Source organism: Homo sapiens, chromosome 7, assembly GCF_000001405.40.
Source record: "Homo sapiens chromosome 7, GRCh38.p14 Primary Assembly".
Classification (NCBI taxonomy): Eukaryota; Metazoa; Chordata; class Mammalia; order Primates; family Hominidae; genus Homo; species Homo sapiens.
Window position 1 is genome coordinate 79,156,257 of NC_000007.14, and position 21,455 is coordinate 79,177,711.

At 34.5% G+C, this 21,455-nt stretch overlaps 1 protein-coding gene and 1 long non-coding RNA gene across 13 annotated transcripts in view; one reads left to right on the forward strand and one right to left on the reverse strand.

Annotated features, from left to right (window-relative positions):
- Positions 1-20,940, forward strand: part of LOC105375366 (uncharacterized) — a 37,408-nt gene extending 16,468 nt beyond the window's left edge. The window contains exons 2-3 of the long non-coding RNA XR_927698.3: positions 16,675-16,729; positions 20,723-20,940. This is a non-coding gene — a long non-coding RNA (uncharacterized LOC105375366). The remainder of the gene's footprint in view (positions 1-16,674; positions 16,730-20,722) is intronic.
- Positions 1-21,455, reverse strand: part of MAGI2 (membrane associated guanylate kinase, WW and PDZ domain containing 2) — a 1,436,613-nt gene that overhangs the window by 1,139,202 nt on the left and 275,956 nt on the right. The gene's annotated exons all lie outside the window — the stretch shown is intronic.

Below are 21,455 nucleotides of genomic sequence, written 5' to 3' on the forward strand. Positions count from 1 at the left end.
GTTTCTTTGCCATATTTTGAGATAACCCTATAAAACTGTCTTTTGTGGGGGAAAATTTGCATCTGTAAAGAATCAGTATGCTGTTAAAGAACTAGATCTTTTTCTTCCAGGCCCTCCCAATCCTGAACAGATTATCTGAAAATCTAGCACCTTTTAAAAGGTCTGAATAGGAAACCTTTGTCACCTATTGTCTCTAAGGGCAGCCACTAGAAGACTTCAATAGAACCTTGGTCTCCACAATCTTTTATCTTAACCTGAACATTTCCTTTCTTTTGATCCCAGGTCTTTAGACAAACTCAACCAATTGTCAACCAGAAAATGTTTAAATTTACCTATAACCTGGAAGCTCCTGCTTCAAATTGCCCCACCTTTCTGGACCAAATATGTATCTCTCAAACATATTTGATTGATGTCTCATGCCTCCCTAAAATGTATAAAACCAAGCTGTACCCTGACCACCTTAGGCACATGTTTTCAGGACCTCTTGATGGCTGTGTCCCTGGTAATGGTCACTCATATTTGGCTCAGAATAAATATCTTCAAATATTTTACAGAGTTTGATTATTTTCATTGACAATAATTTGGCATCCAACATAGGGCCTCAGAGAAGTCTCAGAACCCCAAAGAAGTTGCCCAAACTCAGAGCTAAGGTACCAGCAGGGGCCCATTGAAGCCTACCCAACTTAATGCTTCTCTTCTGGTAGAACTGCTAAGTCCTCCTGAGTCCTGGAACTCCCTTCGGTTGACAGTCCTTGATTTATTCTGAGCTGGTTTTTCTCCTAGGAAGTTGTTGCTAAAGGATCCTAATTCTAGTTCAAAGATGCATTCTAAAGGGTCTTCTCTGTTGCTTTTTCTCCAAAAATTAATCTCAATTGGCTTGTCTGTGCGCATTTGCATGAGAAACTGAACTGTTGTTTTCATATGTAAATAAGAGACTAAGTTTCCTCAGCTCTGAAGAGAAAGGACATTTTTCTCCTCCCAGCCAAAAGGCACCCTTAGGTGACTGGGGACCTTATGGCAGTGTCTGGGGGATTGACACCTCACAACATGCAGTGGCCCTACCGGGAAATTCCCAACAAAAATTAATTTAAAAAAAAGTCTTGTCTAGGAAACGCATATAAGGGCTGATCACCCAGTGTTTTGAGCCCTCTCAGAGGTAACAGACCACTGGAGAGAGAAACTGAGACATGTAAGAGGGTGGAAATGACTCAATGGTGACACACTATGGAGTCTTGCCTGTAAGCAGCACACATTGATCCACCAGACAAAATTCCTAGGCCACATCTCAGATCCTCCTTTTAAGAAAAAAAAAAAAAAAGTAGGAAACAAATAATCAACAAATAAGGCAAGAACAAGCAGAATGACCCCCTTTCAAGCATTCTGTATGTTTTATGGCACATCTCCTTGCCAGAGTTTGTATAAAATGGAAGTAATATGGTCTTTGTGCACATTTACATTAAGGTAAAGAGCCCTAAGTTTGACTTGCCAACTATAGGGATCCTAAGTATTCTTTTTCTCTATTTTCTTTTCTGACTGCTTCAAATCTACTGTTGCTTTTCTACTGAGATAAAAACCACTGTGTGTATCTAACAAGTTTTTTTTTTTTTTTTTTTTTGCAAGCTAGTTAATTTGTATTTATGTCATGGCTAAAGTTCTGAAGTAAATGCTACAGAATCTTTGTGTGAGTGTGTGTGTGTGTGTGTGTGTGTGTGTGTGTGTGTATTTAAAAGACCTTTATAAATTCTATAATTTTATGTTTAATTGGCAGTTAAATTGGTTTTAATTTCCCCTTGGCACGCCAGACTTTTTCTCTCCATACCATATGATATAAATTTTGCTATTTGATTTTCACCTGAGGTAGTTTCCTTTAAATACAAATTTAGGGCTATTTAGCTGACAATTGCCTAGGATGGTGAAACAGGTTATTAAGAATTTAGAAGTCTAAGAAAGAAAAGAAGTTTTAAAAATCATAACATGTACTTCTATCAGCATGCCTAATACATCTATGTATTTATGTGTTGTGTACACAACGTTTCACTACTAAAAATACATAAAAGAGCTCTAATTAATTGGCTTAAAAAATAAAAGTGCTTAAATCAGATACTTTAAAAAAAGACTAGTCAAATGCTTTTTCCAAGTTCACGTGACTTAAGAAAAATCTTTAATAAATAATTGGCTTTAAAGTTATTGGTAAAATGATATTAAAAATGTCCTAAGAATTGTTTGCATTTTTTTGCATTTATTGGTCATGTGGTTTTATGTATTCCTGCAGAATACTATAAGATTGACCATAAGGGTTATAAAACTAGAAAGCCCATCCGAAAACAGAATAATCTTAGCTTTCGTATGCTTATGAAATATTGTTGGCTTAATGAAAATAGTCAAATCCTGAGCTATTGGTATAAATACCCTAAATTTAACCATAAGTTTTATTACTTAATACTTGAAATTCACAGCTATAAAAATGGTTAATAGAAAAATAAATTTAAATATTTGCTATCATTGTTTTTGTAAATAATCTAGGTAAACTATTAAAGCAATCAGGTAAATGGAATAAATGCTTGAAACAAATGTCATAATTTAGAATCTAATTTTATTAATTGATATTAAGTATCTAGATAATTTCCAATTTAAAAGTTATAGGAAAATATTTTTTAATGTTCTTATTAAATATCTTTGTCTAATTCAAAGTTTATTTAAGGTTTTATACCTTTTACCTTGTTTATACATGTTATACAAGGTTATACAGGTTATACAAGGTATACACAAGTTAAAAGGAACCAGGAAATAAAAGATGTAAAGAAAGTTAAATCTATAAAGAAGTATGTTGGTGAAGAAGATAAAAAGGAAAGTAATTTTATATAAGAAAGGATCTCATGCGGTAAATTTCTGTCCTAAAATAAAATGACTAGATTGTTAAAGAGAGAGGGATATTTAGGACAAAACAGAAAGTCTAAGCATGTTGCGAATGGTCTATGTAAGTCATCATAAGGAATTTTTTAAGGGGTTGTATAATTCATTTGGCTATGGGAGGATCACCTGAGGTCAGGAGTTTGAGACCAGCCTGGCCAACATGGTGAAACCTTGTCTCTACTAAAAATACAAAAAAAATTAGCCTGGCATGGTGGTGTATGCCTGTAGTCTCAGCTACTCGGGAGGCTGAGGCAGAAGAATGTCTTGAACCCAGGAGACAGAGGTTGCGGGTGAGCTGAGATCACATCACTGTGCTTCAACCTGCATGACAGAGTGAGACTCAGTCTCAAAAAAAAAAAAAAAAAGAAGAAGAAGAAATTATAATAGCCTTTATACAGATGGGTCTTTTATATTAAAAATACACACTAATACAAAACTAACTAATTGGTTTAAACAAGATTTTATTACAAATATTAACTTATTTTTAATGCGAGAAGTTTTTAAATTTTTAAATTCTATAATCTGTCTCTTTAACATTCTTCAGACTGATATTTCAGAAGTTCTGTTCTTTCTCTTTCGAAAAGGCCTTGGAGCATAGCTCTCTCCCTTCACTTTTTGTTGGCTCCTATAATGTTTACTAATTATCTAAAGTAACAGAATTTTCTTTCAAAAACAGGCAAATAAAGTATCTTTTGGACATGTCTTTTTATTCTGCATGCTGTTATATCTCTATCTTTATATGTGTCATGTGAAAGTGATATTTCACTACCAAACTAAATTAAAGGTCTCTAATCAAGTAACTTACTTAAGAAGGTACTTATCAGATTGGTAGAAGCTAGCTCAGATGCCTTTTAATTCACATGACCTTGGTAATCTTTGGTAAAATTAATTTGGTAAATTTCATCTCAAAACCCTCCAGTAATTTAAAATCTTATAGTCATGTTAAACCCTCTGGTTCCCCATCCCCCACCACTGGAAATTTATGTTACTGAAAAGTTAAAATAGTAGGAAAATAAAATATGTTTTCGGTAAAGTTTATAAAACTCAAGGATGTTGATTTTTCTTTAAAAAAGTGAATCTAGGTTTTTTCCTCTAGTTAAAAAACTACTTAAGTGTTGCTTTAAAATAAAGAAAAAATCATACAGATAAAACAAAATAAAAGAAACAATTAAGCTTGGGCAACAAAAGTTAATTCTAAGCCCCATGGTTACCAAGAGAGTAGTTGATATGAGGGAAGTGTAAAACCAAGCAACTGTCAAAAACCAAATGGTATAATATAAAGGAATTGTTCCATTTTGTAGATTGTTATCATCAGCTTCTTAAAAAATCTTTACTATAGTGAGTTGTAAAAATAACCCCTTTAAGAACAAAATTCTCAATTTTAAATGCTAGAGAATTTAAGAGTTTATGCAAGACCCACAGCTCACTCCTGAACAATCACTAATAATTACATGTAATCCAAATGCACAGGAAATTAGTCCAAAGAGAATGATCATCCTAGTAAAGTGGATACATGCCACTGTAAGGTCTGTCCTGAGAAAGGGTCTTCCCAACTCTCCCTATAAAATACCGAGTGAAGCACACCAGATGAAGCAGTTAATATGCTTCATATGCAAGCCATATCAGACAGGCTTTATGATAACTGGTATATCCTCCCATCAAATATGCCTATTACCCAGGTCACAGTAAGTCTGGGGCTAAGGGGGCCCCTTTTACATTGGTGCCCCTTCCACAGAATCATAGGATTATTTAGGAAGCCTTATCAAATTTGCTGTCTCTCATAGGTCTTACAGATGCAACTCCCTACTGGGAATCCCAAACTCCTTTTCACCAGAAAAGGTAAAATGGTCTGAAGGTTAAAAAGGGTTCCTGGGATCAGAACATAAAAACATACAGGTTAATTATAAAATTATATAATTATAATTATAAAAATTAAGATATTTAAACAAGCTTTACATAAGGTAGTTGTAACCCCTTTACCTAAATGTCTTATGAAAATGGGTAATGCATCTGACTGGGGATGTTACCCCTTTCCAGTACTATAAAACTGAAGGCAAGTAAATCTGCTCTTTTAGGAAATGTTAACTGAACACACTAAATGGGAACTAGTAAAATTGCCTGAGCCCACAAAGTATAGGGTAAAAGCTGGAGTGCTAGTCGGGACAAATCCTCCAGTGCATGGCCCTTTGTGCTGAGCGTTTATTGGGGCTGATGCCAAAAATAAACTGTACTTTTCGATAACAATGACTGAACTAGAGAATTTCCACTTGGTGGGGCATTTACTGCCTTGTGATGGAATGTTATCCGAAGCTACCCCTATGCTAATGGAAATAATATTTTCCAGAAGAGTTCTGTGACAAAAAAAAATATTATGTAAAATCTTGCTAACTGATAAGCAGAAAGCCTCTTTCCTAGAACTAATTATGAGGAGCTGCCAAATTCTACAGTGTCTGATAGACAGCTCTCCTGAGCTGTTTGGTTTGCAAATGGTATTTTCAAGGTAAACAAACATCTTGTTTAAAAGCTGCTGCTCTGGTAAAAGAAGGGTCAAGAAAATCTTTTAAGTTATTTGGGTGAAGTATGTTTTTATAAGCAAACTTATCTTTCTAAGTTCTCTAAAATTCAGATCGCAATTTTATGACAATATAGTTGTTTGCGTAAGTTCGATATAAGTTTTAAAACAAAACAATTAGAGACACTGGTTATTTTATCGAGGCTTAGACTAGAATACACTATTTTTAAATAAAGTTCCAGCAAAGCCAATTTAAAAGGAGTTTATATGGTCAATTAATTCTTGCTGCATTTTATGCAAATAATCAGGCAAGCATAATAAGCCTAAAACTTACCTTGCACACTAATTGGTCTTGCTATAATTTATCTTTAATAGAAAAAAAAAAGCAGCTCAAGAAATTGTTTCAAAGGAAAAGCATAACACATAGTGTTAGATTTTAGCCCTAAGTTGTTTTTTCGATCACAGATTGAATAATTATTCTTGGCTACAATAATCCTCTAGAGAGCACCAGATTATAATTTTTCATCATATTTTTACTTGGTGGCCTAACGGAATGGGTTCCTTTTTCTATTCTGACACACAAATTACTCTTAAAATTGTCAAACTATACTTCCAAGGAAACCAAAATCATGGTGTTCTGAAGACCAGAGATAGGAATCTGCCTTATTTGGCATCCCACTGGGCCTAGATGTGTTTCACTACAAATGCTCTGATGCTAAAACTATACAAGCACCCTCCCTCTAGGCCCAGGGACTATCGAGGAAGAGGTGAGTGCGTGAAATTTTAAGGGCTGATTTTGAGGGATAAAATTAGGTCAAGGTCAAACCCTGCAAATCAAGAAGGGATACAAAGATGCCTAAACAGCTGGTAAGACAAGTTTAGTTGCCTTCTAAACTATTATGTGTCACCTTTGCATCCACTCCAACCATAAGGAATTTTCTACTTACTATAGAATTAAAGGAAAATATTTACTAACAGGATAAAAATACCTTGCAACAAAGCCTCCTGGGTATTTATCCCAATTATGAGTTGTGAAGAGAAATATATTTTTATCTAGATACATATTTTAAAATTCTTTTGCAGAACAATGCTTATGTTTTCTATAGCTAATTGCTGTAAGCCTGTAACACAAACCAAACTTACAGTAGCTCAACACATAGAAGTTAAAAATAAGTCAGTCTTATAACTTTGACTTTTGGTTTTGTTCATTGGCTTTTTACTTAAAATAATAATTTTAAGAGGTGATGAATACCTGTCCACATCCATTCCTATCTGGCCTAGAATAATTAACTGACTATAAGTCCCTCTGCCATAGGGAGTCCTGCCAAGGGACAAAAAACAAAACAAAACAAAACAAAAAAAACACTGTAGAGTTATATGACTTCTCCTGTGACAAAACCTCCTTTTCTCTCCCCAAAACATCAGTATAGGGTACAATACAAAAGCAGTGAGAAAAATAGATTTGTCTACTGATAACAAGTCCTATGACGATTTATTTATGTATATATTTTTTGAGACAGGGTCTTACTCATTGTCCAGGCTGGAGTGCAGTGGCTCAATCTCAGATCACGATAACCTCTGCCTCCCAGGTTCAAGTGATTCTCCTGCCTCAGCCTCTCAAGTAGCTGGGATTACAGGCACCTGCCACCATTCCTGGCTAATTTTTGTATTTAGTAGAGATGGGGTTTCACCATGTTGGCCAGGCTGGTTGCCAACTCCTGACCTCAAGTGATCTGCCTGCCTCAGCCTCCCAAAGTGCTAGGATTACAGGTTTCAGCCACCAAACCAGGCCCTTTATGACAATTTAGACACTGAGGATCAGGTGTTTCTTGGATTTGATTTATAACCTCCTCAGGATGTCATACCTATGGAGATAAATTAGCCTGAAGAGAGATTAAATTTGTTGAATTCTGATTTAATGCTGGTCCTACAATCCTCAAATAAGATTTATGATAAGGTTTAAATAACCCTGATAAGGAAGGTAAACACACTGTGAGTCTGATCAAAGAATATAAGGATGCAAGCAGGGATTATTTTTTGGCTGCTTGGGTTGTTTACTGCCCTCTGATTTCACTTATAACCTTCTTGGATGCCTAATCTTGACTATCTTTTTGATATTTGTTACTATATTAGCATTTTATATCTCTTGTAAGTGTTATGTCAGACTCAGCAAAATGAAAAAAGGCACAATTGAAGACTCAGATCATGATAGCTCACAAAATACATCTGATCCAGGATTTTTTCTTCTTTTTTTTAGACTAAACCCTAGGCCTGACTCCATCTCACCCCTTACACAATTGGCTATTACATCAGGTCAGGGCATGTCCTCCTGCCATTATCCAAATTGCTGCTGTTTAAAACGATTACCATCAAATCAGACAACTCTAGAAATGAGCCTTCCTAGCACCCTGAGACCTGCTGCTGTTTATTGGCCTGCCCATGCATTCTATGGAATGTTTTTGGCCAAGAGGGGAGACTGAGGACTAAGCTCTGATTTTTTTTTACCTTGCCCAAATTCCTATGTAAGGGGTCTGGGGAGTCATGCCTTACAAACCATGAATTCTCATCTGGCAGGTTTTATTTAACCGTATGTATTGTGACTTACTTTCCAATCTGACTCTGGCATAACATTATGTAACATAGAAGAAAATCAAAATATTTTACCCCAAAACATATATCTTTGCCATATTTTGAGGTGGCCCTGCAAAGCTGTCTTTTGTGGGGGAAAATTTGTATCTGTAAAGAATCACTATTCTGTTAAAGAACTAGATCTTTTTTTTCCAGGCCCTCCCAATACTGAAGAGATTAACCGAGAGTCTAGCACCTTTAAAAAGGGCTGGAGAGGAAATATTTGTCATCTATTGTCTCTAAGGGCAGCCACTAGAAGACTTCAATAGAACCTTGGTCTCCACAGTCTTTTACCCTGAACATTTCCTTTTTTTTGATCCCAGGTCTTTAGACAAAGTCAACCAGTTGTCAACCAGAAAATGTTTACATTTACCTAGAGCTTGAAAGTTCCCCCACCTTGACACATTGAATTGCCCTGCCTTTCTGGACCAAACCAATGTATTTCTCAAATGTATTTGATTGATGTCTCATGCCTCCCTAAAATGTATAAAACAAACCTGCACCCCGACCATCTTGGGCACATGTTCTCAGGACCTCCTAAGGGATATGTCACAGCCCATGGTCACTCATATTTGGCTCAGAATAAATCTCTTCAAAGATTTTACAGCATTTGACTGTGTTCCTCTAAATTAGTAAGCCAAACACCCATGTAAGTTTTGTATTAAATTTTCCTATTTTGATAACAGTATCTACTAAATTTCCTACATGAAAAACCTCTCTTGTTTCTAAAAATCAGAATGTTTAGGAACTCAGAGTCTTATTTTTAAATCATAGCCACAATAAATATTTACACACTGAACAGCATCTTGTAGATTTTACAAAGCATTAGGATAAGTGGTTTTCTTAAGTGTTTTTTTTGTTTGTTTTTTGTTTTTTTTTTTTAATTCTCAGTGCATTTAAGCTTAACTGATGGACATATTTACTGGTGAGTATTGAAATAGATTAACATCTTTTAAGTGCCAAAAGGCAAAACCACCGCTTTTTATATGTGCTGTACTAATAGAGATCCTCTGACTTTTGAAAGCTTACCCACTGCAATCAAAGCCCTAGACACTCTTTAAGCATCCAGTTCACACTACTCAGCTTTTAAAAAAACCCTCTAGTGAATTTGCTAAGCCATGCAGTTCTGGGATCCAAATGAGTGAGTGTGATTCAATCTGCATTTCCATATTCAAAATAATACAAAAAAGTCTAAAGGAGCAAAGATATTTAGGACTACAAACACATACATTTTAATAACAATAGATAAAAAAGAAAAATCAGATCCATGGCCAACCTGCCATGACCAAAATTTAGAAGGCCAGATTTTCACTCTTCCAGCTGACAACATAATTAGCACCCACAATTGCCACAGACACATATTTCCTGTAGTGTTTTAATTTTTATTATTATATCACAGTTTTCTTCTTAAATAACACAATACTAAATTATAAACTCATGTCTCATTCAACTTTCAGACAGGATCATAGCTTACTTTTTTACAAGGCAGAGTTGAATATTTACAGAAATATACATATTACAAATTTTATAATCTCCCAAAATAAGCTATTACAGATTCTCTATAAATGAGGAGCAATATTAGCAGAGGAGGTAACTACAATCACATCAAAGGCAGGTAACAAACTCATTGTTTGACCAAAATGGAATGCTTGTTCTATGTTTTTGCTTGATTATTAGAACAGACTTAAAACAACCATGTAGGGAAAAATCTTTGTTGGTTTGAATCTCAAAAAAATTTTTGAAATATAATTATTAGAAAACATTGAAGTCTTACCAAGTATATAACCTAGAGGTAACTTTTCAGACATCTTTGCATGTGGTAGGCAGAACTCTAAGGTGGCCCCAACATTCCCATGCCTTGAATGTGGGTGGGACTGTGGATATAATGAGATAGTCACTTATCAGTCCCAGATTAGCTTACATCATATAGCAAAGGGAGAGTCACTCCATGATCAGATTACATTGTATGAGACCGACTTGACCCACTGAAGAGAGAGATTGTCCTCTAGCTTCAAAGAAAACTGTCAGGGAACACGACAGCCCATAAGAAGGCAGGGACCCTGAGTTCTACAACTAAAGGAAGAAAATTCTGTCAACAGTCGGTGAATGTGGAGGAAGATCCCAACGCCTCAAATGAGATAGAAACCTTCTCCAACACCTTGATTTCAGCCTGATGAGACCCTGGGCAGAGAACTCAGCTAACCAGTGTCTAGACTCTCAACCCGTGGAAATTGTGAAATAGTAAATTTATATTGTCTTAATGTGGTAATTTGTTGGGCAGCAGTAAAATCCAATTCACTCAAAAGAAGGTTTGTGTTATCTAAAATTCCACAATGTCTCCATTAAATACAAAACAAACAAGGTGGGGGGAAAAATCCTTATCTTTAGCAAATGAAAATATGGTTAGATAATTCAGTTTAAATTTCTCAAAATTTGCATTTTACTCGAGGGAATCAGTAAGACTAATTTTTTTTTCATAGCTCTAATAAGGATAGGTAGAGGTTTTCTGATAATATAAATAATAGAGGCTAGTAATATAGAGCATGCACGGTACAGAAAAGAAAGATCAGTGAAATCAGTACATGAGACCTAGTACCAGCTAGGCCACCAATAGCTGTGTGATCTTAGGAACTCACGTAATTTTTTTGAATCTCAGAGTCCTCATAATTAAGGGGAAGGTATACTACTCCTCAGGAGTCTGTGTATTAATAAGCTCTTTGAGGTGATTTCCAGGCTTGTTGAAGTTTGAGAAGCTTTATTTTATATGTTCAAGAGGTTTGCACATTTTTGTTCCAATTTAATACCTTACTATACATGCAGATACAGGCTTTATAGGGTCTTTGTTTATATAATTTTGTGGGGGTTGAGGAAGGGTTCAAACTAGTTTCATGAGATTCAGAGAAAATCCTTTTTCGCCTCCTTTTGTTTTAGTTCCTTATTCACATCCATCTAATTCCAAAATCCTTGAAATAGCCCCTCCACTCCTCTGATTCTTCTGCCTCTCTACTGATACTTCCCTATCACAGCTGAAAACAGTCACCTTTTTCCTTCTTAATATGAGAGTAAACTAACACCCCCCAAAAATGGCAAAAAAAAAAAAAAAAAAAAACTCCAGGCAAAACATCAAAATAAAAAAGTAAAATACTTCCTTTAAATATACATTTCCTTTCATTTTTAGACTGACTTCTTTCTACTTCATAACTGTTAATTTCTTCCAAGTGTTGCCTAAACATACTATTTCTTTTTTTGTTTCACCCCTGGTTTACTTTTCAATTCATTGTTACGTGGTGAAATAAGTACCCTCACAAAGGAAACAACCTCCTCCTGCTAAATCTGTCCCTATGTTGCTGAATCTTTCAGCAGCATTTAACACTCTTTATCCCCAGTGACACTTTTTTTTTAGGAAGAATTTAAAACATAAAGTTTAAATCATACAATGATTACATTTATGCCCACCACTGTTGGGAACAGTCCCCCCAAAATCTGGCCATAAACTGGCCCCAAAACTGGCCATAAACAAAATCTCTGCAGCACTGTGACATGTTCATGATGGCCATGACACCCATGCTGGAAGGTTGTGGGTTTAACGGAATGAGGGCAAGGAACACCCGGCCTGCCCAGGGTGGTAAACCGCTTAAAGGCGTTCTTAAACCACAAACAATAGCATGAACGATCTGTGCCTTAAGGGCATGTTCCTGCTGCAGATAACTAGGGAGACCCATACCTTTATTTCGGCCCATCCCTTCGTTTCCCATAAGGGATACTTCTAGTTAATCGAATATCTATAGAAACAATGCTAATGACTGGCTTGTTAATAAATATGTGGGTAAATCTCTGTTCGGGGCTCTCAGCTCTGAAGGCTGTGAGACCCCTGATTTCCTACTTTATACCTCTATATTTCTGTGTGTGTGTCTTTAATTCCTCTAGCCCTGCTGGGTTAGGGTATCCCAACCGAGCTGGTCTCGGCACACCACCTAGATTCTTCAGTAATCTTTGCGACCTTGCCATTTGCTGTGTCTAGCATATATTTTGCTAAATGATTGTGTAGGTAAATTGTGAATATCATGTCATGCACACACCTTCAAATGTTAGTACTTCAGCTTGTACTTTCTAAGCATAATGACATTTTCCCATAACACAAAGCGTTATACAGTACATATTCATATTTCCTAATTGTCCCTGAAAGGTCTTTAGCTATTTTACTTCTTGTATAAGCTCATACTCAGGTATCAGACAGTGCATTTTGTTGTTATGTTCTTTAAACTCTTATAATCTTGAGTTCCTCACTGTCTTCCATGATGACTTTGACCTGTTAAACAGTGTAGGTCAGTTGCCTTTGGAATGGCCCACATTTCATTTCATCCTGTTTTCACACATTATTCTTCTAATCCCTGAATTTGCTATAAACAGGAGATACAGTTTAAACATTCTTTGGAGACAATTTCTTCATAGGTGATACTGATTGTTTCATATTACACCCTGGCAGTAGGCCCCTAAGTCAGATGGACCCTCTATTAGTGACGTTCAGTTTGGTCATTTGGTGACAGTAATGTCTGCCAGGTTTTTCTTTCTAAAGATAGATATATATATATATATATATATATATATATATATATATATATATAAATTTTTTTTCCCTTTGCAACTTGTGGAGTGATATTTTAATATGTGCAAATAATCTTTTGCCTAGTGGTATTAGCGGCCATTGTTGAGCCCTTGCCTGAATCAGCATTTCACTGGGGTTGAAGAATGGTCCCTTCCTTCTCGAAAAGCTTTCTACCCTTGGCATCAGCAATATCACAAGATCTTTGTCTATGTTTATATTTCCCCTTATATTCTGGTCCCTTTGCAAGCTCCTTTGCTTTTGCTCCTCCATAAATGTTGGTATTCCTCAGGGTTCTTCCTGTGAGCTGGACCGTTTTCAGTTACGGTTGGTACTCATTAAATATCTTGAGAAAGGGAAATTTGGAATGTGCATTTTAATAGAATTAGAAAAAAATCATTTCTCCATTGCCATTTTAAGGTTTATTTCAGCATTCAGGGCAACTGATCTCCAAAATTACCAACCATATGGTTAGTTCTTTGGAATGTCATAGTTCTAAATATTTAACTATATAGATTTTCAAGGACTGCTTTTACTACCATGAAGACTTTAAAGCAGCATTTAACATTTGTATCAACACAGAAGATGGAGAAGACATAGTCTCACTGGCAGCGCAAAACCTTGTCCTGTGCATGGTCACACGCTCAGCCACCAGGGCAGGCTCAGCTGGCTTTCAATATGTGTGAATGCCTTGCTGAGGTATCTCTAAAGGAGATACTTTATGTTTCCTTATTTTCATATTTTATTATTTCCATGTGTTAAAAAAAAATGTACATGGGTAGTTTATCAAAGAATCATATAGCAGTTTACTGAACTTACAATTAAATTTTCTAAAAAGATTAAAACTCATGGCCAGCTAACAGCCACATCAACAACTAAACATACCGGAATCCTGTAGCTGTTCAATTTAATAAAAATTTGCAGGAGGGGTGATTAGCTTCTCTCTCTTTTTTTTTGTCTTTTTAACTTTTAAATTCCCACTTTCAGTGCCCAGATGCCACTCCATAAATACTCATCAATTGTCTCTACTCTTTTCACTGAATTATAAATGATCATTTCAATTGATGTTTATTCAAAATTCAATTTCCCTTAATTTGGAAGACAAATAACTGAAATAGGACTATATTTTACACAAAATCCAGATGACCATAGTAGGTCATCCAACCCACCTTCAAAATTATTCAAGAATAATTAATTTTTCAATGGTTACTTTGAGATATTATACTTTTTTTTTTTTTTTTTTTTTTTTTTTTTGAGACAGGGTCTTGCTCTGTTCCCTAGTCTGGAGTGTAGTGGCATGATCATAGCTCACTGTAACCTTAACCTCCTGGGCAATTTTCCCAGGCACCTTAAACTCCCCAGCAATCTTCCTGCTTCAGCCTTCTGAGTAGCTGGGACTACAGGCATGTGCCACCATTCCTGGCTAATGTTTTAAAAAATTTTTGTAGAGACAGGGTCTCACCATTTTGCCCAAGTTGGTCTCAAACTTCTAGCCTCAAGTGATCCTCCTGCCTCCACCTCCCAAAGTGCTGGGATTGCAGGTGTGTGCCACTGCGCCCAGCCAAAATACTATAAAGTATTGAATCAAAAGTAGATTGATATATATTTTATAGAGACTATTGTTAAATGTATTCTAATGCTTTAAATCCAAAATATCAGATTATCTACAACATACTGTTTTCTAAGCTTCTGGATAAATGAGTGGTTTAATATTGTTATAAATGCCTAAAGTTATAGCTATTTCATAGCTGACTTAATTCAACAACCCTTGTCTAAGAAGAATAATCATGAATGTAAAAGGATGCCATTGAGATTCTTAAAATTGTACCACTTAGAATATACAGATCTGTCAGCAGGTCAGCTGGGATAAGGGGTTTGTCAGGAGTGTTATGAACAATTTGATTCTTAATTAAAATAAAACTCATGGAAAGAAAATGAGTTTTACTTAAAATGAGAATAATAGAGTGCATTCATTCCATTAGCCAGTATTCTTAATAGCTTAACATTTATATTGTGTTGATTTTACAAAACAGTTACCTAAGATTCTTTTTATTGGGCAGTCATTCACAACATATATCATAAACTATCATAATGTTTATGTTTGTTTGTTTGTTTTTAAAGAGTAAAGTCAGTCAACTTAGTGGATACAATTGGAAGCTATATTAGTTTGCTAGGGCTGCCATTACAAAGTACCATAAACTGGGTGGCTTGGAACTGCAGAAATTTATTTTCCCATGGTTCTAGAAGTCAGAAGTCTGAAATCAAGGTATCAGCAGGATTATCCTCTTCTGAAGGCAGTAGGGAAGGATTTGTTCCAAGACCTTCTCTTAGCTTCTGGCGTTTCTTTGGCTTACAGCAACATAACTTCAGTCTTCACAGGGTATTCTCCCCCTGAGTGTGCCTTTGTGTCCAAATCTTCCCTTTTTATAAGAACATCAGTCATATTGGAATTAGGGGTCTACTCTACTATAACTCATCTTAAATAATTATGTTTCCAATGACCCAATTTCCAATAAGCTCATATTATTCTAAAGTCTAGGGCTTAGGTCTTCAGCATAGGAATTTGGGAGGATGACATAATTTGATTCCTAAGAAAAGATAATTGCCCATTTTGGAAATTATATCCCCTCAAAAATTAGTGGAATAAGCCAATTTGAAGTCCCTTAAATTTAATACCATATACAAATAAATGTAAGAAATATATACTCTATGGTCATATGTCTACAGGTAACTCACTTTTGTGATACTTTCATTCAATAAAAATAGATAGTAAGTAATTCACCTTAGTCTTTATTGACATCTATTAAAATTAAGCAAGACAATAGCCAAAAATATATATATATATATATATATATATATTTTTTTTTTTTTTTTCTTTTAAAGGGTCTCCAAAATACTACCTAATTTCATAGAGTCCCAAACACATGTTGACACCTATTTCTCATCCCAACATACACATCCCAAAGGTATTAGTCTTAGGTCATTTGAGATGGTTCACATGTAAAAATCTGGGTCACTGTGCCCTGTGATCTCCTTATACTTTGGTGTATGCCCTTACAGCTTTAGGCCTTGCCTAATCACATGCTCCCTGGGAAGTTACAACTAAGTAGTTTCTCCTTCTAAACCACCCAGCAGCTATTCAAAACTGTGATTCTTGTGCAAGTTCGATCTCTTCTATTTCTCTTTTGCAGTGTGTAAGAAGGAAGGGAAGAGGGCAGGAAAGGAAAATGTTTGAATTTAGAACTTGTGAACATGTAAAAGAGAAACAGTGGGTTATGGAAAATACAATAAAAAATATAAGACAGAGATGAACAGTGTGAATCTTAAAACTATAAGATGAGAATTTATTTCTTTCAGTTTGATCTCTTGGTATTTATTGATTTTGGAACATTATAGATGTTAAGAAACCTTACTTGTTAGTTATAGCCATACCTTTGAACCCTCAATCAAGGAGAAACACAGTAATTGACATGAAAATCTCTTTTTTTGGACAAATTCAGACAAAAGATTAGGTTATTGGGAGAAATCTTGCCATTATAAGAATGTGATGTCATAATTTTCAGAAACTTAGAGAAACACAATGCAGATTTAAAATTTAGTATTAAAGATCTATTGATATATCATGTTAATAGTTCAAATTAGAAATGCCATATGAGTATCAGAATAGTTGAGTAAAATATGCTCTATGATTTTATACTTATTTTGGATTTCAAAAATTCAGTAAATTTAAATAAATTAAAAAGGTATTTATGTAACATATTAAAGAATATATACCTGTAATCAACAAACATGTATTTACCAATAAAGCATTGGAGATGTGCAGATTAAACTTAAGAACAGAAATAGGATGTTATCTATAATCTCTGGTAGTTCACCTATTTCCAGAAGCTCTAGCCAATGGAAAAAGGCAAGAAATATAATATGCACAACCATCAGAAAAGCAGAGAGTAAAATTGGGAATTAAGTGTCTCAGTTTACTTATATGTAAAATGTGATATTAATGGTATCTATATTTCAGGGTTATTTCAAAGAAGATAATACTGCAAAGCGCTTGGAATATGCATATGTTTACAGTAAGTATTAAATAGAAATTAGCTATTATGATTACTATTATTTGTAGATATAATTCTATAACTTTAAAATAAAGAAAATCAATTAATAAATTATTAGAACTTTATTATAAGCTTCAGTCATGAATTTTCTTACATAAAATAATGTTAGAAAATAATAGAAAACATTTTATTCATAATAGCAACAAAAAGGTATAATCTAATCAGAAATGAACTTACTAATAAATATGAGGTCTTTCTTAAGAAACATTGCTAATACTCAGAGAAATAAAAAAAGCAGTGTCATGTTCTTGCATAGAAAAAATGACTTCATTTCCCAAATTAATTTACTATTATAATTGCATTTTTTTTTTTACTTCTGATGATAAGGTCTTCCTCTATCACCTAGGCTGGAGTGCAATGGCACGATCATAACTCACTGCAAACTCAAACTCCTGGGCTCAAGTGATCCTTCCACTTCATCCTCCCAAGTAGCTGAGACTGCAGGCACACGACTCCACACCCAGCTTACTTTTTTATTTTTAATTTTTGCAGAGATGGGGTCTCACTTTGTTTCCCAGACTGGTCTTGAACTCCTGTCCTTAAGTGATCCTCCAGCCTTGGCCTCCCAAAGTACTGGAATTTCAGGTGTAAGCCACTGTGTCTAGTGCCGAGTTTTCTTTATAAAATAAAATGTGACAAAATGATTACACTAACCAACAAAAATAAATATGGAAGACTAGCTCTGATAAATCTTAAAATTTAGAGTGATGAGGAAGGGACCTGTTCTATAGAACATTCTACCATATTATAAAGCTGAAGTCATTAAAACATTATAATAGTACTTAGAAATCAATACTAATGGAACAGAATTTACAGTTCCTTAACATATACCAGAATATCAGAACTCAAAATAAGATAAGGTACAGATCACCAGAGAAGAATTCAGTGTGTCATATTTTCCAGAAAGAACCATTAATAAATTGTTAGATCAATTTTGTGAACCACAGGCAGTTTTTTTTTATTTGAAACGGAATGGGATGGAAAGGAAAGGAATATAATATAATAGAAAATATTAGAATTCATCACATAATACTGAGGATAAAAATTATTTTAGACACTTTCATTTCAGTTATAGGTATGTATATAAGTGTTCACGTGTGTCAGCGTGTTCTAGATTGTGATGTAAAATTTATTTTTTCTCTTACTGTGGGTTGTGCTCCAAAAAGTTTGAATACCTCTCCAATAAATAATTTGGGGTAATTAATTAATTGAAAAAGAATCATCTATTTATATCCTTGTCTTCTGCTAAATAATGAAACAAAATATAGATGAGTATTTTTTAAGATTACTATAATAAATTTAAATGGATATATGTATATAAGATCGCTAGGAAAATACTTTAGAAGCATAAAAGGGAAGAAACCACAAAGAAAATTATTTGCACGTCTGAATTCACACATACACAAATGTGTGGTTCGGAAGGTAATCAAAAGTGATGAGAACATGACAAACTGGGGAAAAAAATTACAACAAAATACCTTTAATGTATTAAAGAAACGTATACCCTTCATGTGTAAAGAGAACTTGGCAATCAATTTTTTTTTAAGCTGGGTGCAGTGGCTCATACCTATAATCCCAGCACTTTGGGAGGCCAAGGTGGGAGGATCTTAAATCAGCCTGGTCACCATAACAAGACCCCCATCTCTATATTAATAAAAAAATTTAAATTTTTTAAAAAAAGAAATAAATTATTAAAAAAACACTCATTCTCTAGGTAGACATTTTGTAGAAAAAATATATAACTGAATACAAAATGTTTACTTTCAAAAAAGTAATTAATTAGACAACAAAAAAGTAAATAATTAGACAACAGTGAAATATTATCTTCCTTTTCAAATCTTGCAAGAACTATTGGAAAAGATATAAATACTGTCTGTGGCAATCTAAGTTGATGCACACTATTTTGGACTCCAATGTGGCAATATATCAAGAACCTAAATGTTAGTGCTCTTGGGCCAAGTAATTCCATTTTGTTTAGTTTCGTCCAAAGAAGTTGTCTGAAATATGCACCATAGTTCAGCTATTGATACCATTACTTGTAATGGTGCTCATTAAATGCTGTGTACATCAAGCAGAACAAGCTGCAGAAGATACATGCTTTCATTTGAATATTTTTCAATGAAATAGAGAAAACAATCTATAAATGAGAAAATCTGAATCAAAATTTTATATATGTCCAAAAGAAAAATGATTAGAAGAAAAAACACTGACTGATTTTCTCTGTGTTGATAGATGTGGAGATTATAGGTAATTTTCAATTTTCTTCTTTATATTTCTTTATTTGTCCATATATCTCTAATGAGTACATATTTCTTTTATAATACTAAAAGGCAATTCAGTTTATTTTTAAACAAAACAACCTCTCTGTTGCCCCCTTCCCATCTTGCTTTAGTACTGGTTTTCTAAGGATTTCCCTAAATGAGATTACAATGGTTTCAAATTAAAACATCAGTTGTCCCTATCTAAATTGGTTCTTTGAAAAATGAATGCCTGAAGGTGTTGTAAACTGCTCTTCTAAGTGCAGTCATGTGTCATTTAATGACAAGGATAGTTCTGAGAAATGCATCCTCAGGCAATTTCACCGTAGTATACTTACATAGAGCGTACTTACATAAACATAGATGGTGTAGCCTACTACATACCTAGGCTATGTAGGATAGCCTATTGCTCCTAAGCTACAAATTTGTACAGCATGTTACTGTACTGAATAGTAGGCTATTGTAACACAATAAGTATTTGTGTATTCGAATATATCTAAACATAGAAAAGATACACTATTATAATCTTATGAGACCACTGTCCTACATGTGGTCCATTGTTGACTGAAACATCATCATGCAGCACATGACTGTACAATTAAGCATTTCCCTAGTCATTTTGTTTTGTGTTTCAGTGATTTATTTTTCTTAATACAAACCTTGCATGGGGCATTAACCTCAGTATTTTCATTTGTTACCTCTCTCACCTGTTAAAGACAAGAAATTGAAGGAGCTAACACAGACCTGCTAATATAATAGTTTCCTGTTAAACATGTTAATGAATTAATATTGTAAAAGATAACAAAGCTTGCTAAGTAAATGAAAATGTCACCCCTTCTGTGTTAGCATAAGGCACTTTGATTACTTCATATTGCATATGCATGTGGTGGACATCATGATGCCCACTCGAATATACCTTTAAGGAAGGACCTGCTGCCTCGTCAGGATTGCCCCAGCTGCCTTGCTTACAGTCAGTCCCCTTCCTGGTATTGCCCACATCCACTTACTGACAAGGTGGGAGTATAAAGACCTCACCCTCTCAGCCTGATTTAGGAGGACTCAAGGACCATTCTAGGTCCCAAGCATCCTGTTGAATTAGGCCTGCACTGCAGTTTCACCTTTCCCTCTGCACAGTATTTCTTCTCTTCTTTTTCACAATGGCATATCTTAAGAAACTCATACAAGGTCAACTCCATCTCAGAATGAGAACACTCTCTGGAACAATGAATTACTTCAGTGAATACAGGTGTACTAGTGGCCTCTTGGATATATTTTGGATTTTATTATCATAAAAATTGATGAATGAAATTGTAGAATCAGAGATATATAGATACATTAATAAGAAAACACCTAAAACCAAGCTCACCTTAGATCATTATAGAATTTGCCTTTGCCCACTACTCATTAATAGTTACCAGTTTATAATTTTATAAAACACCGTGATCTGAGTTTGGGAGAACTTGACAATTTATTTTGTAATATCTTAGTAAAATAATTTTTTAAAAAAATCACTGTTGTATCAAGCTTTGGGTTAGTTTTAGTAAAATGACACACTCAATGTACTAATTTGAAATCTTTTCTTGATTGCAGCTAAATAGTTGATCTGATCCATGTGTCCCCCTCACTCTGTTCCACATATGGCAACAAACAATCGCATAAGTTTAGCAAACTGAACCTTGTTTTTGACACTTTGCAGTGCTTCAAATGATGCGGAATCAGAAAGCAGCGATTGAAACTTACTAACCCGACCTGCTAGTCTTTGAACTGAAGCTCTTTGCTGCCCTCTGTAGATACCTAGAGATGAAAACGGCAAAGTCAACATTCACTTTCTCAGTTATGGTAATTTTGTTCTGTAATCTTAATAGAAAAATAGACTAAACAGAAGGTGTTTCAATTAAAGGGAAATTAAGGATCGTTTTTTCCTATAATTTCTTTTGTACTATATCGTTGAATTTCTGTATTTGCCTTTAAAAAAATCACTATTTAAAATTAAAACTTCGTGTTTAAAAACACTATGGTAAGACAAAGTGAAAATACACACATGAATGCATGAAAAAAGAATTAGTAATTTTTCAACTTTCTTTTGACTTTTTTATCATTTTATGTATATTATCCACATTTTAAAAGTCATATGAATTATGGTAGATAATGTCCTCTAAACATAAGCTACAAGTTCTATTTTCACATGATAGTTTTCCTTGCCTTTGGCATGATAATTATTGTTGTTTCTAGTTTCTTGGGAGGGGCTATTCTTTTGCAAGAAAATAATCACTATTTCAATTGTTGCAATTCAACTTAAAATTATTTTGCTGAGCATTTTCTATGCACTCAGCAAAAGTCTACATGCTGTGTAGGGGATATCAAAATGATGATAATAATAGCAGCAAACTGCTAAGTGCTTAACCTTGGAAAGATATTGTAGCACATTA